At 42.5% G+C, this 23528-nt stretch overlaps 1 protein-coding gene and 1 pseudogene across 5 annotated transcripts in view, besides 3 other annotated features; both read left to right on the forward strand.

Annotated features, from left to right (window-relative positions):
- The window catches only part of TRAPPC11 (trafficking protein particle complex subunit 11), a 54297-nt gene extending 43039 nt beyond the window's left edge, over positions 1-11258 (forward strand). For 3 of the 5 annotated variants that reach the window (XM_024454180.2, NM_021942.6, XM_024454179.2), the window contains 4 exons: positions 2648-2739; positions 4476-4609; positions 6076-6243; positions 10269-11258. In XM_024454180.2, the coding sequence (XP_024309948.1) occupies positions 2648-2739; positions 4476-4609; positions 6076-6243; positions 10269-10313 (439 nt within the window). In that variant the 3' untranslated portion in view covers positions 10314-11258. The other 2 variants (NM_199053.3, XM_047416069.1) reach the window with 2 other exon arrangements.
- Positions 3600-3700, forward strand: RNU6-1053P (RNA, U6 small nuclear 1053, pseudogene; annotated as a pseudogene).
- Positions 20371-20900: a silencer, noted in NCBI's record as "silent region_15833". NCBI's record gives its function as "represses an Ori minimal core promoter by ATAC-STARR-seq in GM12878 lymphoblastoid cells {active_cell/tissue: GM12878}" and the evidence as "EXISTENCE:reporter gene assay evidence [ECO:0000049][PMID:35858748]".
- Positions 20852-21613: an enhancer, noted in NCBI's record as "H3K27ac-H3K4me1 hESC enhancer chr4:184644336-184645097 (GRCh37/hg19 assembly coordinates)". NCBI's record gives its function as "activates a minimal SCP1, AML or CMV promoter by ChIP-STARR-seq in naive H9 embryonic stem cells {active_cell/tissue: H9 hESC(naive)}" and the evidence as "EXISTENCE:reporter gene assay evidence [ECO:0000049][PMID:30033119]".
- Positions 21011-21060: an enhancer, noted in NCBI's record as "active region_22187". NCBI's record gives its function as "activates an Ori minimal core promoter by ATAC-STARR-seq in GM12878 lymphoblastoid cells {active_cell/tissue: GM12878}" and the evidence as "EXISTENCE:reporter gene assay evidence [ECO:0000049][PMID:35858748]".

Genomic DNA, 23528 nt, shown 5'->3' on the forward strand with positions numbered 1-23528 from the left:
AGACCCTGTTTAAAAAAAAAAAAAAAAAGTTCATAGCAGCATTGATTGCAATAGGAAAAAAATGGGGGAAAAAAACGTAAATGCCCATCAATAGAAAAGAGAATAAATTGTGGCACGTTCATACAGTGGAATACTATATTTCAGTGAAATGAATGAACCAGAGCTACACCATCAACATCTTAAGGTAAAGTGAACAAAGCAAGCTACTGATGAGAATATGAATAAATTGCATTTATATGCCATTGAAAAACATGCTATGTATTTCTTAGGACTACGTACATAATTTGGAAAAGTATAAAATACATAGGAATGATAAATACCCAATTCAGGATAGTGGTTACCTTTGGGATGGGGGGATACAAGCAGGAAGGGCTCTGCAGGAAGATTCAATTGTATCATTGTAATTTCTTTCTTAGACTGGGAAGTAGATACATGATATTCATGTGTTATCCTGTTGATGAGGCTTAGTTATTTTCAGAAATTTTAAAACAGGGAATAAAATGTATTACTTAAAAATGAGAAAGGAATCAGAAGATACTAGTTTTAAGGGAATGTTTATACAACTCAGAGTAATGAGTAGGAAGATCTGAATGTTATGGCTGTCATGAAAAAGTTATAAATTATCAAAATTGACTAAAGGAAAAATTTTTTAACCTAAAAAAACCAGTAACTGGAGGAAATTCATGAAATTGCCTTCAAAGAATATATGTTTAGTATATGTAATTACATGGTATGACTTATTGTTTTCATGTTATAAATTATATGCAAAGCATAGAACAAGAAGGAAAATCCCCTGGGTTTGTTCATGAAGAGCACCCATACCTAAACCTGACAAAGGCAGAAAATAAAAAAGACAACTGTAGGCCAGCAGTTCTCAAACTTTTTGGTCTCAAGACTCCTTTACACTTTGAAAAATCAGTGAGAACCCTAAACAGCTTATTTATGTGAGTTATATGCATAAATATTTACCATGTTGGAAACTAAAGCAGAAACTTTTTAAGAATGGAGAAATATGTAATTTTACTAAGAAGTAAATAAACTTGTCTTTCTTTTCCCCATTCCTGAATTTACCATATTGATGTTTAGTTTTATTTTTTTGTTTGTAGGTGTCAAAATAGCATTTTAAAGGCACTGCTGAATTATTCCATCATACTACAGTATGAATTTGTGCTTGTCATAATTTGTGACTTATATGCTATTGAAATTTTAGCCAAACTAAATCTGTACACAAAGGGTGTGTGTATAAGAATGTTCATGGGCTGGGCACAGTGGCTCACACCTGTAATCCCAGCACTTTCATAGACCTAGGTGGGAGGATCGCTGGAGCTCAGGAGGTATATTCATTTCTTATTGATGAGGGCTTAGATGCTTTGCCTGTTGCTTTTGCTCTGTGATAGTTTGCACATCATGTCAGCTGCTCCACCCTTAGGCTCAAAAGGGATTTCCCTGGCACCACCCTTATAGTTCCCACTTTAGCTGTACCACAGGGAAAATATTTAACAGTTTCATAATGTTACTTCAGCTCCATAAATATTGGAACACCACTATGTTTGTTGATAGTAAAATACTTTTAGTTCTTCAGTTTCTACTGTATACGTGTAGTGAGTTACAATAGTGCTCTTCAAAGTGGTCTGGGGCCCACCTGTAAACCATCCTCAGTGAGTTAAGGAATTTATGTCATGATGTAAATCACTGCACTGTTCCTGAATTGAGAAAGTCTTGCTACCAAAACACTGTATTAAATCGTGTGCATCATGATTGACAGTCTGACACACCTCCTCACTTATCCCCCACTGGTAACATGCAGCAGCCCTGGGTTATAACAGTTTGTTAATTGGAAATACTCAGAAGTGTGATTTTAAAAGCTCTTAACTTCACAAAATATTTCCATTAATAATGTTTTGGGAGGCCTGGTGCGGTGGCTCACGCCTGTAATCCCAGCACTTTGGGAAGCTGAGGCAGGTGGATCACCTGAGGTCAGGAGTTTGAGACCAGCCTGGCCAACATGGCAGAACCTCGTCTCTGCTAAAAATACAAAAATTAGCTGGGCGTGGCTTCACGCGCCTGTAATCCCAGCTACTCGGGAGGCTGAGGCAGGAGAATCACTTGAACCCAGGAGGTGGAGGTTGCAGTGAGCCAAGGTTGCACCATTGCAGCCCAGCCTGGGTGAGAGAGTGAGACTGTCTCAAAAAAAAAAAAAAAAAAATTGGCCAGGCGCATGCCTGTAATCCCAGCACTTTGAGAGGCCGAGGTGGGCGGATCACGAGGTCAGGAGATCAAGACCATCCTAGCTAACACGGTGAAACCCCGTCTCTACTAAAAATACAAAAAATTAGCCAGGCGTGGTGGCGGGCGCCTGTAGTTCCAGCTACTCGGGAGGCTGAGGCAGGAGAATGGTGTAAACCTGGGAGGCAGAGCTTGCAGTGAGCCGAGATCGCGCCACTGCACTCCAGTCTGGGCAACAGAGTGAGACTCTGTCTCAAAAAAATAATAATAAAATAATAATAATAATATTTTGGGAAATGGATAAGTAACATTTCCTTTGAAACTAGCTGGTGAATACATGTTTCCTGTTTTTGATGAACTTCTTTCATAGTTTAAAAAGATGTTTAAAAAGAGTTTAAAAAGATGACCTCTTCTGCCACAGGACCTCAGCAATGGAGAATATCCCCATCATCACAACTGTCATCACTCTGCCGCACGTGATTGTGGAGAATATCCCTCTCCATGTGAATGCAGGTAGCGGAATTCAAATTTTACTTGATAAGAAGGACCCAATAATAATAGTTATTTTAACCTCTAAGAGTTTAGTTATTTTAACATTCTATTTAGAAAGTTTTTCAGCATTTGTAAAAGTAGCTTATGGCCAGTCTTGCTTCCTCTCTACTTCTACACACTCCTCCTACCCCTGTTATTTTGGAACAAATCCCTAGATACAAAGCCATAAATACTTTCATATGCCTGTTTTAAAAATAATGGCTATTTTAAAAAATATAATTACAGTACCATTATCACCTCTTTAAAAATTAGCAGTAATGTCTTAATGTCATCAAATTCCAATGTTGAAATTTTCCTAGTTAACTCTGGATGTTTTTTCAGTTTATTTTGAGGACTATACACTGCAACTGATGGATAAGTCTTATACTATCCTGTAACCTATAGGTAGGCAGCTAGGCTGACTACTACTCCCTCCCCCATACCATCTCTCCTCTCCCCACCCACCATTAACCCCTGCATCACCTCTTCCAATACCGCTTTCTCTACCACTTTGTCCATCTCCTCCCTCCCCGCATCTCTTCCTTGCTGAAGAAACTAAGTCATTTGTCCTATAGAGTTTCCCACAACCTGGATTTTGGAGATTACATGGTGCTGTTTTTAAATGTTTCTCTGTCCCTATAAATTGGCAGCCTGTCTGTAGGCTTGATCAGATTCAGGGTCAAGTTTTTGGCAAGAATACTTCATAGTGTATGTGCTCCCACCAGGAGGCAGGTAACATCTGTCCATCATTCTTTCTTTACTGAAATACTTTATCAAGAGAAACTTCCCTTTATCAACTGTTTGGTTATCCTAATGTCTATAATTTGAAAAAACTGTTTATAGTGCTCACTTCAACAGCATACATGTAAATGGGACTGGTGCAGAGATGAGCACGGCCCTATGCAAGGATGACACCCAAATTCATGAAGCCTTCCATGTTTTTGTATCCTAGGAAAAATAAAATGGCAGAACTGCCAGAACACACACACACACACACACACACACACACACCCACCAAACAACAGTGTATCCACAAATGAATGAATGAAAGTTTTACTTATAACTTCACTGAAACACAGCTTTTGCTTATTCTAGTTTAGGAACCATGAGTGATATTTTGGGAAACCTTTTATGGATTTAAGAAATGATCCCTGGCTGGGCGCGGTGGCTCACGCCTGTAATCCCAGCACTTTGGGAGGCCAAGGTGGGTGGATCACGAGGTCAGGAGATCGAGACCATCCTGGCTAACACGGTGAAACCCCGTCTCTATTAAAAATGCAAAAAATTAGCCAGACATGGTGGCGGGCACCTGTAGTCCCAGCTACTTGGGAGGCTGAAGCAGGACAATGGCGTGAACCCGGGAGGCGGAGCTTGCAGTGAGCCGAGATAGCACCACTGCACTCCAGCCTGGGTGAAAGAGCGAGACTCCGCCTCAAAAAAAAAAAAAAAGAAATGATCCTTAAAATATAATTCAGTTCCTGATAGCCAAGACCCTGTCTAGGCCAGTCATTTTTAGAAGGACACTCATTTCCTTAGCCTGTTTTATCATAGTCTTATTGCTGTTGTCCAATCAAAGAATTTTCTTATCCGGCAAGAGTACAGTAACGTCATTAATTTAAATGATACTATGTCCACAGAATGAGATTCATTTACAAAACGAAGCCATAAGTGGGGAGCTATTTTTTAAACCAAGAGAAGTGTGTCATCTTTCTCTGTAGATCTGCCGTCATTTGGGCGTGTCAGAGAGTCGTTACCTGTCAAGTATCACCTACAGAATAAGACCGACTTAGTTCAAGATGTAGAAATTTCTGTGGAGCCCAGTGATGCCTTCATGTTCTCAGGTCTCAAACAGGTACAGGTCATATCTTGTGATGCTTATGTTGACACAAAAGTGTGCCAGGAAACGGAGAGCTGTACCTTTAGTTTTTATGAATGAACTGAGTAAAGCTGACTGTGGTCCCTGTTGTTTTGGTAATAGTGAATTTTTAAGCACCTTAAGTACAGCTGCCTATAAAGGTGGGTTACCCTTGTCACATCATTGAGACGAGACACGTGGGTTCTTCTTATAAAACAGAAGTCCACAAATCCTTGGACTATATTATAATATGTTATAATTCCTGAAAAACTTAAAAATGTCCCCTTATTACTGATGAGTGTGTGTGTTTATGTGTGTGTGTGTGTGTGTGTGTGTGTGAGGCCTGGAGACTTCACTGTCCTAATATTAACAGCCCATTTTTCTATCAGTGAAGTTTCATAGCAATTTTGATTTTGCGTAGAATATACTTAACCTTTCGTGTGTTTAGATACATTTTGTTTCTATACTTTAAATTATCTAGATTTTTTTATTTGTTCAGTCAAATCAGGTTGGAAAAGTTCATCAAGTTTTTAAATGAGCAAACAAAATACCCAGGCAAAACCATGCTTCAGTGAGAGTCCTGTCCTCCACTGTCAGAGGGATAACAGAGATGACCCTCCAAAGTCAGGAAATACTTTTTAATTAACAAGGGCATAATTAGAGAACATATGTGTCTTAACACCTGGAAGTGTCTATCCTGACTAATTAACTGCTCTGCATATTCTGAGTGCTGTGTTTGTTGTTAAATGCAAAATAGAATTTTATATGAAATATGCTGTATGTTCAGGTACTGTTTTATATTTATAATATACAGTATTAAATATACCAACTATAGTATTTACAAATGAGTGAGCTTTTTTCTTGAGTGTCTTGATTTTTTCCACGTGTTGACTTACATAAATCGTAGGAAATATAAAGATGCTAAAATCTTACCAGTTAGTATACTTTTTAAAAGTATTGTCAAAGATTTTCAAAACATCTTTTTTTTTTCCTCCTGCAGTTACTTAACACAAAGGTAAAATCCTTAAAACAAAACAAACTACTAAATAAATTAGAAAGAACTAATTTGGTATTGACATAATGTCTACAAGTAGATACTCTTTTTACAAATTATCCCTTTACATATTGTGAACATAAAAGCTACCTGGGCTAAGGCAGAGAAAAGATTCACCTGCCTTGAGTTCTCATTCTTTAGGAGGTATAAGTTACCCATTGTAGGTCTTGGTAGAAACCGAGAAATCTTGCATATATTTTTTACACATTTCCTGTCTGCCATGTCCTAAACTCATACTAATTCAGCCCTACACTTTGGAATCTGTTTGGAAGATGGACTAGGAGAGAGTGAATATTTCAGTAGAAGGATTTGGTTATCCAATCTTTTGTAAATAATTGAGGGTAACAACATATAGATATTGCACATATGTGTATTTGATTATCTTTCTCTGTGACTTTTTATGATGCAGATTCGATTACGTATCCTCCCTGGCACGGAGCAGGAAATGCTATATAATTTCTATCCTCTGATGGCTGGATACCAGCAGCTGCCATCTCTCAACATCAACTTGCTTAGATTTCCTAACTTCACAAATCAGCTGCTCAGGCGTTTTATACCTACCAGTATTTTTGTCAAGGTAAAGCTTAGCAATTTTCTGCTTTTTAAATTCAAAGTCTTAAAAACAAACAGACTTCTTTTTCATGTAAACTTCACTGAACAGTATTTTGAGACCAACAGTGATAGTTTTGCCTTTTATTATATGTATTTGGCAGTATTGCTGTTCATTTCTATAGTTACTTTTTATAGAATCTAATTTCAAAGATTGTATTTCCTTAGGTAAATAATGATTTATCTTTATAATATCCTTAAGCATATTTTCTCTTTGGTTTAGTAAAGTATGCTTTAAAATTGTAATTTGTTTGTAACTAGTATTTCATCAAAATGAATTAACTTTAAATATCCTTAAACTTTTCTGATTCCCTGTAACTGTGTAATATTAGATTTAGCTCTCTTCTGAAAATGATCATCTCTCAGAAACTATACTCTGATTTAATGTTTTTTTTTTAATTACACAATTTCCAGGTCCCTACAATAAAAGAATACATACGATGGGCAGTGTGTAAGAGTGAATTGGAGGGATGAGTGGTTAATTTAGCTCAGCAGCCCACCTCTGATTGTCACTCCCTGATACCTAAATAAGAGCCATCTCTCCACATGCTTCTGGTGTCCCTCTAACATACATATACATTAACATAACATACATACACATTAATATATGTCACTGCTGTGCGCCCTCTTTTAAGTTTCTACCCTCATTTGGAATGACAGTTTATATTGCTCACTACTTCCTTTTTTGTGTCTGTCTTATTCAAGTTTGGGGGAACAGTTCCTTGTTTATATAATCCAGGATTTGGTAAGTTATCTGTTAATAATATTCTCTGTACTCTGCCAGCTTTTATATTTCCAGACTTTTATACAGAGTTTTTTCTATCTGTATAAAAATAATTAACCCTCCCAAGCTCCTATTCCACACCATACTTTTAAATTGTAAAAGAGGCCTGGCGCAGTGGCTCACACCTGTAATCCCAGCACTTTGGGAGGCCGAGGCGGGCAGATCATAAGGTCAGGAGATCGAGACCATCCTGGCTAACATGGTGAAACCCCATCTCTACTAAAAATACAGAAAATTAGCCGGGCGTGGTGGCAGGCACCTGTAGTTCCAGCTACTTGGGAGGCTGAGGCAGGAGAATTGCTTGAACCCAGGAGGCAGAGCTTGCAGTGAGTGGAGGTTGTGCCACTGCACTCCAGCCTGGGCAACAGAGCGAGACACTGTCTCAAAATAAATAAATAACTTGTAAAAGAAAAATCTCATAATTTTGGATATCCTTGTGTTTAAACGCTTTTTAAATATTTTCGCCAGATCCCTTCAGTCTAAAGACATTTCCATTGGCCCCACACTCTCCTGGTGAAGTCACTCTGCAGGGGACGAGTCTCATGACTGGGTGGGGGAACAGAGGGGAACAGGTGGCCTCCATAATGTCCCTTTAGCTGTTAGACTTTTTGAAGTTTGCTATTTTTAAACTTAGAAGTACTGTTTGAATCATTTAGATGTATGTAGACTTGATCATATTCTAGCTGCACAGAAATAGCTTGTTTGAAATACTAGAGTAACTAATACTGAAAAGGAGAGATTTTTGGTTCCATCAATTATTCTCTTTCATTCCTTTCTCTGGTGCTCAGGAGACCCAAACCTAATCCCAGCTAATGCTTGTTCAGTCTTTTGATTTTCTCTCAAGGTAAACCTCTTCTGGGTAGTGTTTAAATTCACAAGGAAAGGTTCCAGAAAATAAACTTTTTTTTTTTTTTGAGACAGCGTCTTGCTCTGTTGCCCAGGCTGGAGTGCAGTGGCCCGATGTCTGCTCACTGCAAGCTCTGCCTCCTGGGTTCACGCCATTCTCCTGCCTCAGCCTCCCGAGTAGCTGGGACTACAAGCGCCTGCCACCACGCCTGGCTAATTTTTTGTATTTTTAGTAGATACGGGGTTTCACCATGTTAGCCAGGATGGTCTCGATCTCCTGACCTCGTGATCCTCCCGCCTCGGCCTCCTAAAGTGCTGGGATTACAGGTGTGAGCCACTGCGCCCGGCCTAACATTTTTAACATGACTAGCATGCCCTGTTTAACTGCAGGGATCCTTTTCTGAGTACAGATACCACTTTCTAGCAACTTGACTGCTGCCAAAAATGTTCACCGGACTCCGCAGAGCCAGCTCTTTAATCAGTAGGGAAAATTTATAATTAAAAAATTTTGGCCGGGCGTGGTGGCTCACGCCTGTAATCCCAGCACTTTGGGAGGCCAAGGCTGGTGGATCACCTGAGGTCAGGAGTTCGAGACCAGCCTAGTTAACATGGTGAAACCCCATCTCTAGTAAAAACACAAAAATTAGCCGGGTGTGGTGTGGTGGGCGCCTGCAATCCCAGCTACTTGGGAGGCCGAGGCAGGAGAATTGCTTGAATCTGGAAGACAGAGGTTGCAGTGAGGTGAGACCATGCCATTGCACTCCAGCCTGGGCAACAGAATGAGATGCTGTCTCAAAAAAAAAAAATTGCCATTCTACAGTGTATATATAGTGTACATATTTCAAAACATCATGTTGTATACCGTAAATGTCTACAATTTTTTTTTTTACTTGTCACTCTAAGGACAGTGGCTGAGGATTACCCTTTCCCACTTATTGGACAATCACTGACTAAAATTTTAGGTCCTAGTGCACCTGTATTAAACTTTAGAGCTATGCTGTCCGGTATAGCCACTAGCCACATGTGACTATTGAGATTCAGTTTAAATTAAATTTGCTTAGTTACACTGCCACATTTCAAGTGCTCAATCGCTAAATGTGACTAGCGACTGCCATACCAGACAGTGACGTCCTAGGCAAGGATGAATCCATACTTTTCTTCCTTTGAATAAAAGGCTTTGGTTTTCTAATTGTATGATGCACTCATTTTTTGCTCTTGCTTGTAAAAGCTACATTTGGCAGGGATTTCACTAGCTTGAGCCATGATTTTGTTTCTAAAATTGAGCAGCTCCCATCAGTACTAAAAAAACAGTCAAGAATCAAGGATCGGGAACCTATTTCACTCACTCCATTCCTGCCGTGAATGTCTGGAAGCTATACTTAGCTATGTTTCTGTATGTATGTACACACACACTGCTATATACATCTGAACAACCACAGCAGCAGCAAACTGAAAGCAGGAGTGCTGTCTTCACTGCCTCGGGAATGCCTCAGAATCTTTCTGCTTAAAGCATAGCAAATCACTTTTGATTGTGAACACTCTTCTGTTTCATTTCCTGATCATCTTTCTCCTGCTTTCCCCACAAAGGTCTGCTATTGTATATCTGTATAATAAAATAAAATTATTTGTAAGAATTGTATTCTTTTAGCTACTAGCTATCCCTCTGGGATGTTGTTAACCTGCCAGAAATTTTACAACTAAAAACAGTTACGATACCTTTTATTCATTCTTAGTCTTGACTTTTCTGACGTGATGTTTTAAATTCTTTCAATCAGTGATCTTAGAGATAGGGCAGTTTTTGTTTTTATCTGCCACTTTTATCCTTGCAGCATGCATTGGAGTTCACTGCAGACACTTTTTCTCAAACAGGAGATTGGGCAACCTTGAGTCCCCAAAAGGAACTTACCTGTCAGCTCAGGCTCTGGACCTGCTTAAAGCTTGAGACACAGGAGGGCCCTGAGCAAGAGAGAGAGAATAAAACTATCAGTTAAGTAGGAATGATAAACAAGGTTCCATTCCACATGTGGGAGATGGCCTGGCAGTAGCTGCTGGAACGCAGGGTTGAGAGAGAAGTACTGACAGAAGAGGATTCTTCGGGTGGAAGTGCAGAGTCAGCTGGTGATGGCTACAGGAGAGGGCAGCTCCCAGCCTGTGCCGTGGCCATCCCCAGGTGCAAGTGAAGAAAGAAAGAGGTGGGGTGAAAGGAGGAGAATCACCATATCACCATTTTTATTTTGATGCTTACACTCATTTATTCTGTTTTTGTAAAACAGTTTCAAGAATTTAAAAATCCTTCCAGTTAATAGAGCTTTTGTTATTATATTATAATTTTGTAAACCCACTTTGTTTTTCCCACTTTAAAGCCACAGGGTCGACTCATGGATGATACCTCTATTGCTGCTGCATGATGTTCAAGACCGGCCCTTGGCTGTTGTTACAGAGATGTTGGGCAGAGCTATGCAGGTGTTTCATTGTGAACTCTAGCTTTGATCATGGTAAAAAGTTAACCTTTTCTATTTTTTAATGGATGTTATACCAACTATTCAGAGGAACTCATACTTCAAAAATATTAGGAAAATCTGTCTTATAGTTTCTCTAATAAATATCTGAAATCTCAGTACGACATGAAAGAATGTCAGACCATTGTTATTGTTGAAAGTCATTTGATGAATGGTAAATTCTATGAAAAGTAAGTGATTTGCATGTATAATATCAGGAAAATTAAGCATCCCAAGTGTGACTGGACAAAGAGAGCAGATGCACCAGTGCCTGTGCCATAAAGTTCCGAATCCCCCATGTGTCTCTTTCAGAGCTGGCCAGACCGGAAATAAATCATTCTCATAAATTCAGTGTGTACTCAGAACACATACACAACAACATAGGGAGTTGTATGACTGATACGGAAAACTTCCAGAAAGTTTTAATCAAAGCAGTTTAATTAAGGTATCAAAAATATCTTTGCTTACTATCAAGAAGTGTCAAATAGGTTCAGCTTGCTGCCAAAATATGGATCATTTATGAAGCAGGTTCATATTTTAGAGGTGTTAATAAAATCCTCATCGGAAAAGATCCAAAGTGCAAGGATTTGATTATAAACATAATTTCCTAGACTGAAAGTTTTTGGAAAAGATGCAGGGTCTGAGTCAGGCCTTCTGGTTATATTGTGCAGTTTCAAAAGAACTATTTAAAACTCTTGAAAACTCATGTAAATAAAAATCATAGGGTGAAAATTGTATTTGTTAAAATACCTTAATAATTTAAAATGACCTGATTTCCTGGAAAATTTTATTATTCAAAAGGTGGAGGCATTGTAAAAAGGAAATAGTGATGTAAATAAACATGTTCTCTTTCAAGTATGCTTGTCTGTCTCTATCTTTTATTTTGAGCTTGTTTGATTTCAGCTTCATGGAACAGCTTTTACTAAGAACACTGTTGCATGAGATGCAATGGCAAGCACAGGATTGAAAATTGGGCTGTGTTCTAGAACTGGCTCTGGTAACATTATGTGAGAGTTGGACAGTGCTATCTTGGGAGGACATGAGCTCCCTGTTGTAACATGGCTTTTCAGGTAGAGGCCATGGAGCATGACTCTAGAGTCCAGCTGTCTAGGATCAAATCCCTCCTCTGCTGCTTTTGTCTGGGTGACGTTGTTCAAGTTCCTTACCCTCTGTGTATCTCAGCGTTCTTGTATATAAGATGTAAATAACACCCATCTTATAGGCTTGTTATGAAGGATGATATAGATTCATACATGAGAAGAGCTTGGAACAGTGCCAGACCCAAAGTTATGTATGAGGGTGCTCAGCCAGTGTCATCTATATTTTTATGGGAAGGCTGAAGAGGGTATTCACTTTTCTACTGGAGAGTTCCATGTTATCAGAATTTGTTGATACATTTTACATAATTTACTACATATATGAGTATACATGTGTATGTAAATACGTGAAACTATAAACAAGTTTCATAGAAGAATGCATTCTGTGTACTCTTACATATTTTGTATCCTACTCTGTTTTGTTAAAAAACATCCCTGGTTATAAACCTGATGAATTGATTTCATGACCCACTAATAGGATGTAAAGTGCGGTTTGAAAAATACTGGACCAAGATCTTGAAGGTGCTGTTGAATTCTAAGATGGTCTGACGCAGTGCTTACATAATAAAGATCCCATGTGTTAACACTGCCATTGTCAAACGAAGTACATGTTTGAACAGTGGGTCACTGACATGCACTTTAAAATGATCAACATGGATGGCAGTGGGATTTGTGTACCTGTGCGCGCTTCTGTACGGATATCAAACAGGTCTTTTTCTTCTTGATCTTTCTTAGAGTTGGCAATAGAGTAAGCCTTTCTCAACCAGGAATTCTCCCATATCACAAATTCTACTGTGAGTATATTCTGTCTACCTATTTTGAAACTGAAAATTTTGATTCAACAATACATGAAGTCATCATCTACCCTGGGTTCTAAACTCAGAACTGTTACAGTGTTGCAGGAGCTCTTCATTCACTGAGGCTCCGAGTGTCAGGGAGGACCTCACCCTCTTTCTCCCTGCCTCTGCCAGCAGCCACGACCATCTGTCCCTCATGAGAACGTCTGCCTTCTGTCTTTGTACGTTTGGTTCTCAACATTGCTGTCTGCCAGTGTTCGCACCATCCAGGGATACAGTTTTTTAAATAAAGTGTTATAAATTGTGGGGGAGGTGTGTATAAAAGTTTAACTCGTATACATGATGCGATAAGCACTGGTGGATAATCCAAATATTACCAAAAGGAGCATGCAGATGGTAATGTCTTTGGGAAGGACAAAGTTATTAATTTGCTTAGTTTTATATCTTTGTGATCCTTCAACTTGCAAATTTGATCCCTTCAACTCAGTTTTCCTCATAATGTCTTTAGTTCTCTATCTTTGAATTCTTATGAGAATGAAGAGGTTTTACAGAGCATGGCTCTTCACGTTTTTCAGAATGTCTTCACATTACTTGGAGATTCATTATTTTTGTTCGAATTCAGTCATTTCTTTCATGGACCATGTTATATTTCCACCCAGAATATAAAAAGCCCCCCAGTTGATACTCTGAAATAATAGCTGTGAAGAATTCCAAGCTGTAATTTCCATGTTGGTGTTGTAAGGAGAAAGGGAGCGCTGTTAAGGAAAGGACAGCAAGCAGACAAGCGAAGTTCGCCTTTTAATGGGGAGGGTCCCTGCCGCCCCAGCAAATACCCTTCTGAAGCCTCCTCACCTGGCCTTAAAATTCAGAAAAGGCACCCAAAGTGTCCCAACTCAGTTTAAAAGTTAGACATGGGTTGCATTATTTAATGGTAGAGTGGATAAATAGCAGTGACAGTAACTTTCAAAGCAGTTACGTGCATGCAGCATTAGTAATTAGAGATGGTCCAACAAATGTGTGATAACCAAATAGAAATGTATACATTATCTCATCTCCTCAGTTTTTCATGCCATATGGATTCACCCCACAGGACTAAATCTTCTCTAGCTAAAGCATTATGAGTGAATGCTAACTAAAAGCATTCAGTTATATAAGGAAACAAATTTTTACGTTATTTTATTGTCCCAGTATTCTTACATACCCTGTTTTACAATTACAGATTTGTTCTGAAACATTTCTAATGAGTGACACTGCTGCTGTTCTTTTTTTTTTTTTTTTTTTTTTTTTTTTTTTGAGACAGAGTCTCACTCTGCTCATTCTGTTGCCCAGGCTGGAGCGCAGTGGCATGATCTCAGGTCACTGCAACATCCGCCTCCCAGTTTCAAGCAATTCTCCTGCCTCGGCCTCCCTAGTAGCTGGGATTAGAGGTGTCCACCACCATACCCAGCTAATTTTTGTATTTTTAGTAGAGATGGCGTTTTGCCATGTTGGCCAGGCTGGTCTCAAACTCCCGACCTCAGGTGATCCACCCACCTCAGCCTCCCAAAGTGCTAGGATTATAGGCATGAGCCACCGTGCCCGGCCATACTCATGCCATTCTTTGGTGACCATAACCATACCATTTATTTTAGCAAGTGATGCCATTCTCAGACATACCTACTGAAGAGCTCCATAAAATTCACTAAATGAGTATAAAATTCCATGTTTTTCATGAAAAAAAATGCATAGTTCCATTATATTCAAGTTTTCCTTAAAGATCAAATTGGTGAAAAAACATTCCCTTCCACTCGATTTACTTATGTCTGCAAAAGGAGAAGACGATCACAAGGCCTTATTGTTTCTGCTTTCTGAAGCATGTTTTACTAGAGGGGAAAGTAGAACCAAGGTCAAAACTGCCACGCATGTCCACTCAGGGTGCACTGCCTGAGTTAGCCCTGCTTTGCAGGGAGCTGTGTTAAAAGGGAAAAATCTCAAACTGCCGAGTACCCTTGCATTTCAAGGTCTGTGTACCATCCAAGTTATACTCCAAGCAACTTTTTTTTCTTTTTTTACTATGCTCACTCCAGTTTTTTTTTTTATCATTTCTATTTTCTCTCCATTGAAAGAACACAAAACTCATAGTAACCTTGAAATTGGTTTTTTATTTACAGAATACACCCTTATCCAAAATGTATCAACATGAGGCAGAGCGCGGTGGCTCATGCCTGTAATCCCAGCACTTTGGGAGGCTGAGGTGGGCGGGTCATTTGAGCCCAGGAGTTCAAGACAAGCCTGGGCAACATGGCAAATCCCCGTCTCTACTAAAAATACAAAAAATTAGCCGGACGTGGTGGCTCGTGCCTCTAGTCCTGTAGTCTCAGCTACTCGGGGAGCTTAGGTGGGAGGATCACTCGAACCTGGGAAGTCAAGGCTGTAGTGAGCCATGATCACACCACCACACTCCAGCCCGGGTGACAGAGCGAGATCCCGTTTCAGGAAAAAAAAATAGTATCATCATGCATGGTAAATGGAAACTTACAAATATTACCTTGTTAGGTTGGTCAGGATTTCTAAACTATCTTTCCCAAATGATCATTGCTAACATTTATTGAGTAATGTGATGTGCCACATGGGTATGTTTTTATCTCATATAATACTCATAAAAGCTCAATGTGGTTTTAGGTACTCTTATTATTCCCATTTTGAAGATGTGAAAGCTGAGGCGCAGAAAGGTTAAGTAACTTGCCCAGTGTTCTGGTTATCCATTGCTACAAAACAAATCTGCCCAATGTTTAATAGCTTAAAACAACCATCATTATCTTTATGGTTTCAGTGGGGCAGGAATTTGGGAACAACTCAGATGGACAGTTCTGGCTTGGGGTCACTCATGCAGTTGTAGTCAAACAGTAGCTGGAGTTAGAATAGGACCAACTGTGAGAACCAGGGGAACCGAGGCAGCTTGGAGCTAGCCAGGCACCTCTATTTAGTTAGGGTCGCTCTATGTGTTCACTGGGATTCCTCACAGCATGGCCGGCTGAAGGTGGCTGGACTGCTTACCTGGCAGCTCAAACCTCCAGTGAGAATGGAACCAGCAAGGGAAGCTGCATCACCTTTTTTGACCTTGCCTTCAATAACACATAATGTCACTGCTAGGGTCACAGTCCACCCAGATTCAAGGGGAGGGAACACAAACTATAAATGTCACCTCTTGAGGGGGAAATGGCCTCATCCAGAAGGTACAGGACAGGAGGTATTATTGCCTCCATCTTTGGAAAACAAAATCTGCTGTACCCAGTGACATGGCAAGTGGGAGTAGAGCTGGGACTGTCATCAAGGTACTGTCCTGCAGAGGCCGCAACACTACACAGCCACCATTCTAATGCTGCCAGGGCTTAGTCCTAAATAAATTTGTCTTGAGCTAAATTATGTATGCCTGAAGTACTAGGCATTTTTATGAATTAAGATCTTTCCATGCCTGGGTCTCCATGGCTGAAGCCTCTAATCCCAAAATTTTGGGAGTCTGAGAGGTAAGGATCGCTTGAGGCTAGGAGTTTGAGACCAGCCTGGGCTAGCAAGCCCCTGTCTCCACACAAAACAGAAAAATTAGCCAGGAGTGGTGGTGCCCCCCTGCTACTCTGGAGGCTGAGGCAGGAGGATCACTTGAACCCAGGACGTGGGGCCGCAGTGAGTCATGATTGCACCACTGCACTCCAGCCTGGGCGACAGAGAGCCTGTCTCTAAAAAAAAAAAAAAAAAAAAAAAAAATTCTTTCATTCTGTGACAGTAAATCTATTGCCCTCAATTACACAAATTTATTCCAAGTATTTACTGTGGGCCTACTGTGGGCCAGTTTGTGGGCTGGTTGCTGTGGCCATAAAGGAATCCCTATTCCTGAAGACCAGTGGTCCAGCAGGAGACACTGCCACGGCAGCAGGTTCTGACACAGTGTGGTCAGTGCCATGGAAATGGGCACAAGACTAGTAAGTGATGGGATGTCTGGGATTTCCTTTAACATACCTGAAAAGAAACAAAATAACCAGATTGGAGAGAAATGGATGAAACAAGATTTGAAAAATGTTGATAACATTAAAGATGGGTGGGCCTGGGGGCTTTGCCATTCACTCTCCTTTTGGGTATGTCTGGAAATTTCCATAATAAAAAAATAACAAAGGATACAAGGTAGACAGGAGCCCCAGGGAAGGATTAACTTTATTATAGAGTATGAGGAGGAAGCTGCGGGGAGGTAGGGCTTCCTCAAGGAGGGACATTGACATTGGAGTTGTTTTTGTTTTTGTGTTCATAATAAAATGATTCTGTGCTTTTGTTGTGTGGGAATGCATTTCCATCATCCATGAACAGATAATGTTATGTGAACTGGATTTTGGAGGACATAGAAACGTTTGTAAAATAAACAGATCAAGGAAGAGCTTTCCAGGTGATGAAAGGGACTGTTGGCATGCACCCCTGCGGCACCCTGGCATGCCAGTGCTTTGAACATAGACAGACTTGTCCACTGTTGAGTAAACCTAACCTTTATTTTTTTCTTCCTTAGATATTCAGTGATAAGAGAATGGTGAGCAGGGGATGAAACTCACTTAAAAATGCAAGCGCGCTTGCTGCTGTCTCCCTGCACCTCTGCAGAGCAGGGCTTCTCTCCCGGAGCTTTTGGAGGAAGCTGGTCTTCTTTTTGGTAATGCTCATCAGCTTGAAGAACCGTAGTCTGAAAAAATATTTGATCTTGGAGAATAATTCAAAATCACTATCTCAACAAAGGACTGAATTCCAAATGCCAAATTTAACAGGAACAGTTCATAAACCCTTTATTCAAGATGAAATAGGCCAGGCGCGGTGGCTCAGGCCTGTAATCCCAGCACTTTGGGAGGCCGAGGTGGGCGGATCACGAGGTCAGGAGATCGAGACCATCCTGGCTAACACGGTGAAACCCCGTCTCTACTAAAAATACAACAAATTACCCGGGTGTGGTGGCGGGTGCCTGTAGTCCCAGCTACTGGAGAGGCTGAAGCAGGAGCATGGCCTGAACCCGGGAGGCGGAGCTTGCAGTGAGCCAAGATCATGCCACTGCACTCCAGCCTGGGAGACAGAGTGAGACTCCGTCTCAAAAAAAAAAAAAAAAAAAGATGAAATACGGAATTATTCAGTCATAGGATGGGAGGGGCTCCGTAATAGCTTTTTAAAATCAAACAGCTGATTTTTTTTTAATCAAAGGTATTAGTGACACCATTTGGTCAGACTACATTTACGATATTCTCTCCACTTCTGATTGCCATCCTTTATTTCATTTTACTTTTTTATTGTGACCATTTCCGAACAGACACAAAAGTAGAGACTGTTACACACTTCCATGCTTATACTCAGCTTCAGCCATTAATGCCTTGCCCTCTACCATCCATCCTCCCTACCTCATTTCACCAGAAAGAAAAGGACTTTTAAAATCACACAACCACAATGCATTATTACATCTAATCAATTATTTCTTTACATTGTCTAGTATAACATATTCAATTTTCCCTAAGTCTTTTTACAGTTGGCTTGTTTGAATATGGATCCAAACAAGGTCCATCATTATATTGTTTCATTTCATGTAGAACAGTCCCGTCCCCCTTTATATCCCCTATTGACTTGATGAAGAAATGGGTCAGTTGTTTTGTAAAATATCCCACATTCGGGGTTTAGTTAATTGCAACCCCAGGGTGTTTATGTAACTTGTTCCTCTATCTACTGTTTTTCCAATGGACTGGGAGTTAGAGTTACAAGCTAGCCTGAGCTCAAATTCTTTCTCCTTCTCATCCTCCCTCCAGTTCTTCTCTCCTCTACTTCCTTCCTTTCACCCTCCTTCTCTCTCCCTCACTCCTTCCTTCCATCTTTCCTTTTTTTTTTTTTTTTTCAGAATAAGGCTATTTCATAGGTGATATTTCCCATCACCACACTTCTGTCTCGTCTCGCTTTTCGTGGTAAGACTGATCAATGGGTTTAGAGGATGGCAGCCTAATTCCTTTATCATAAGGTTCAGCTAAACAGCCATCGATGCAATTGTCTGAATTGAATGACGCTCATTGCATTGACGCATTGATCGCTGTTTAGCTGAACTGTATATTTAACTTAAATGTTTTAAAATTAGAAGTTTTTCAATTGGAAGTTGCAAAATGTAATTAAAGAATGCTATTCTGCATTCATTGACTGGAATTCTTAGAGAATTTTTTTTCCTCATCCACTAGGTCTATTTAATTACCCTACAATATAGTTCCTACAGCAAAGAGAACTTTTTTTCTTAATTCAGCCCATCAGACAAGGAAGCAAAGATAATTTTTAATAACCTAATTCCTTCTCTTTATTTGTAATTTTCTTCCTTTTTTTTTTTTTTTTTTGAGACGAGCCTAACTCTGTCACCCAGATGGGAGTGCAGTGGCATGATTTTGGCTCGCTGCAACCCCCGCCTCCCGGGTTCAAGTGATTCTCCTGCCTCAGCCTCCCAAGAGTAGCTGGGATTACAGGCGCGCACCACCAAGCCCCGCTAATCTTTGTATTTTTAGTAGAGACGGGGTTTCACCAGGATGGCCAGGCTGGTCTCGAACCCCTGGGCTCTAGTGATCTGCCCGCCTCAGCCTCCGAAAGTGCTGAGATTACAGGAGTGAGCCCCAGCGGCCGGCCTCTGTATTTTTAATTTTCAGTGTAACGAGTTGGTGGCCCTCCTATCTCTAATGTTATCCCAGAGCTTCGGTGTTTGTGCTTCGTGCCCTCTCCGTTTCTCCCCTGTTCTTATGGAATAATGATGTGCATTAGGAGCCTGGGGTCAGGAGTCCAAGGTTAGGGTGAGGGCTTTCCCGTGGTGTTGGCAGCAGCTGGCGCCTGCGCCCTCCGTGCAGGAGAGCAGCTCCCTCCAGCGGCTTCCCTCGCGCTTTGTGCCTTGCCCACCGCTCAGACGCTCTGCTCTGAAAAGTAAAGTTCACAAGGTATCTTCAGCTGCAAGGATAAAATCAAGAAGACAACTTCAAACACAACCTTTATCAACTTAAAATCAATATTAATGTACGAATGGTCCGAATGGTCACCTTGGGAAATCAGTGAAAGGGCCTGACATGGAGAAGAGATTAAATTATGTTTAATAAATGTTCATTTTATGTTCATTCTTTGAAAACGGGCACTCATTGAGTGACAGATCTTTTACCACACACAAACACTAACAGATACGCGTAACTGCGCCCTGCGACATTTTATTTTCCGGCTGCTCCCCCTCCGCTGTCAGGTGGGCAGTGTCCACGGTGCTTAGGGGAACAGGAGGGGTTCCGGTGCTGCTTCCCTTCCGTGCACAGAAAATCCACCCAGGCTGGCGCGGCGGCTCACGCCTGTAATCCCAGCACTTTGAGTGGCTGAGGGGGGCGGTTCACTTGAGGTCATGAGTTCGAGACCAGACTGGCCAACACGGTGAAACCGTCTCTACTAAAAATAAAAACCGTCTCTGCTAAAAAAATTAGCCAGGCTAGGTGGCGCGCCTGTAATCCCAGCACTCTGAGAGGACAAGGCGGGTGGGTCACCTGAGGTCAGGAGTTCCAGACCAGCCTGGCCAACAAGGTGAAACCGCATCTCTACTAAAAATACAAAAATTAGGCCGGGCGCGGTGGCTCACGCCTGTAATCCCAGCACTTTGGGAGGCCGAGGCGGGCGGATCACGAGGTCATAAGATCAAACCATCCTGGCTAACACGGTGAAACCCCGTCTCTACTAAAAATACAAAAAAATTAGCCGGGCGTGGTGCGGGCGCCTGTAGTCCCAGCTACTCGGGAGGCTGAGGCAGGAGAATGGCGTGAACCCGGGAGGCGGAGCTTGCAGTGAGCCGAGATCCCGCCACTGCACTCCAGCCTGGGGGAAAGAGCCAGACTCCGTCTCAAAAAAAAAAAATAAAAAATAAAAAATTAAATTAGCCTGGCGTGGTGGCAGACATCTGTAATCCCAGCTACTGGGGAGGCTGAGGTGCGAGAATCATTTGAACCCGGGAGGCGGAGGTTGCAGTGAGCCGAGATCGCGCCACTGCACTTCAACCTGGGCGACAGAGGGAGACCTCATCTCAAAAAAAAAAAAAAAAAACAAAAGAGGAAACAAACAAACAAAAAACCTACACCAGCCCAGCCTCTCTAGCGAGGCTCACCCGCCCGCCCGGCCCCCGCACCCGGTCTCGGCTTCTCTGGCCAGGCCGCGGGGCCGTTCGGCGCGGGGCGGGGCGTCGGGGAGTTTCCGCAGCGGTTAGACCGGCCAGGGGACCTCGGGACAATGAGCCTTTCTGTTTTAAAGCCGGAACCCAGCCGGGCCGCGCCGCGAGGAGGCTCCCCTGAGGCTGGCAGGAGAGACCTGCAGAAACTCGTGCGCGCCGAGCGAGGCGGGCGCCCTGGGGCTGGGGCACGCGGCCGGCGGGGGCCGCCAGGGAGCGGCCGTGGCGGGACCAGGACTACGGTGCGCCCCGCCGCCGCCAGCACCCGCCTTGGGAAGCCCGTCCGACGCGTACGCTGCAGGGGCCTTCAATAGGGGCTGTCGCCACCTGCACCCGCGCCGCTGCGGTTCGCAGGAAACTCCTGTGGCTTTTCGGAAGCACAATGCAGAACGCCCGGTGAGGGTTTGCAAAGCCGCCCTGGGAGATGCCGCAGTGTGAAACCTTTACGGTTGCACCTGGCCTCTCTGCTGCATCTGGCCTGTCTGCTGCACCTGGCCTCTCTGCCCCACCTGGCCTCTCTGCCCCACCTGGCCTCTCTGCTGCATCTGGCCTCTGCTGCGCCTGGCCTGTCTGCTGCATCTGGCGCCTGTTGCACCTGGCCTCTTGGCTGCAACTGGCCTCTCAGCTGCGCCTCTTTGTTGCCTCTGCAAACTCGGGTGCCCTGGAGCTTCCTACCCAGAAGTGAGTGCCGTGCACACTGCAGGTGCGAGGTGCCCCTCCTTCTGTCTGTTCTGTTTGGTTTGGCAGATGACAGCACTCTCAGTGGGGCCTGAAACCTTGACAGTCATGGCTTTCTTTGTAAGGACTCTCTTCCTTCATTAAATCGCTTGTATTTGGATTACAGAGATCTGTCATAAAGAGATTCAGTACTTAATAATAACGTGGGGAAAGGATCACCAGGTACTGTTAAGAAAAAAGCAAGGACAGAACAGTGAATACGGTAATGATCTTGTTTCGTAATACAAAACAAAACAGACACTATGCAAATACAAACCCAAAGGAAAATGATCATGCATAAAAATACTGTTTTTGGGCCGGGGGCTGTGGCCCATGCCTATAATCCCAGCACTTTGGGAGGCCAAGGCAGGAGGATCACTTGAGTCCAGGAGTTCAAGATCAGCCTCGGCAACAAAGCGTGACTTCGTCTCTACAAAAATTAAAAAGAAATTAGCCAGGCGCTGGTGTGGGCCTGTAGTCTCGGCTACTTGAAAGGCTGAGGTATGAGGATTGCTGGAGCCCAGGAGGTCAAGGCTGCATTGAGCTATGATTGTGCCACTGCACTCTAGGCTGGGCGACAGAGCTGGGCCCCATCTCTCTCTCTCTCTAGAAAGATAGTTTTTGGATTGTTGGATTGTACAGGTGATAATAATTTTCTTTATTTTACTTATCTGTTCCGAATAGTTTTCCACAGTAAACATGTTTTTTTTTCTAAGAAGAAGGGATAATAAATGTTTATTTTTTGAAAGGAACATAGATCGGCTGGGCGTGGTGGCTCACGCCTGTAATCCCAGCACTTTGGGAGGCGGAGGCGGGCAGATCACGAGATCAGAAGACCAGCCTGGCCAATGTGGTGAAACCCCGTCACTACTAAAAATAAAAAAAAATTAGCTAGGCACGGTGGCACACACCTGTTGTCCCAGTTACTCGGGAGGCTGAGGCAGGAGAATTACTTGAACCGGGAGGCGGAGGTTGCAGTGAGCCGAGATGGTGCCACTGCACTCCAGCCTGGGCAACAGAATGAGACTCCATCTCAAAAAAATAAATCAATAAAAGGAACATAGATCACAACACCAGAGGGAAGAGACCCAGCAGACGGGTCCTATGCAGAAACTTGCTCCCCAGTGATCCACAAGTCACCCAGGAGGTAAAGTATATGCAAGCCACATCAGTGTTCCAGGATGAGGGTTGCCATTAACAAGTTTGTTTCCAGCCCTGAAATCTGTTCCCATTTGAACAAATATTACTCTTAGGAATAGTATAGGGCTCCCCCACCAAGATGGTTTAAGCAAAGGTCATAGGCCCTGCCTGTCTAAAAATGTAACCCTGAAGTTCTTTTTGGGTGAAAGCATTGTTAGGTGTCTCAGACAAGGACTGTTCTATTCAACACGGAAGCACGCGTTTGCTTGTGAGCTGTTACTGCAGACTTGCCTGAGATGCATCCAGCCCAGAAGGGCAGGCACAGTGGGCAGCTTGTGTATGGAGGGAGATCAACCGGGAGAAGACACAAAGATACATTTTTGAGACTTTATTATTTCCCATCTAAAAGTCCACCCCTATTCTAGTGGCCAGAATTGACTGCAGAGAAGGCAGGGTGCCCAGGAAGGGGACTGTATGGTAAACACAGCATTATCACTGCCACAGGAGCCTGGTAGGGCTCAGCTGAAACTCCACCTCCCTCCACAGCCTTCAGGGGTCCTTCTTGTCCTATGGACTCTTCTGGCATTTCCTGTGTGGATGCCCATCTCATACCTTTACATTTTTAAATTTTATTTATTTGAGATGGAGTCTTACTCTGTCACCAGGCTGGAGTGCAGTGGCACTATCTCAGCTCACTGCAACTTCCACCTCCCAGGTTCAAACAATTTTCCTGCTTCAGCTTCCTAAGTAGCTAGGATTGCAGGCGTCCGCCACCCTGCCCAGCTAATTTTTGTATTTTTAGTAGAGGTGGGGTTTCATCATGTTGGTCAGGCTGGTCTCGAACTCCTGACCACAGGTGATCTGCCCTCCGTGGCCTCCCAAAGTGCTGGTGAGAGGTGAAGCCGGCTGGGCTTCTGGGATGGGTGGGGACTTGGAGAACTTATTTGTCTAGCTAAAGGATTGTAAACGCACCAATCAGCACTCTGTGTCTAGCTAAAGGTTTGTAAATGCACCAATCAGCACTCTGTCAAAAATGGACCAATCAGCACTCTGTAAAATGGACCAATCAGCACTCTGTAAAATGGACCAATCAGCTTGCTGTAAAATGGACCAATCAGCAGGATGTGGGTGGGGCCAAATAAGGGGATAAAAAGCAGGCCATGCGAGCCAC

Source organism: Homo sapiens, chromosome 4 (genome assembly GCF_000001405.40).
Source record: "Homo sapiens chromosome 4, GRCh38.p14 Primary Assembly".
Taxonomy (NCBI): domain Eukaryota; kingdom Metazoa; phylum Chordata; class Mammalia; order Primates; family Hominidae; genus Homo; species Homo sapiens.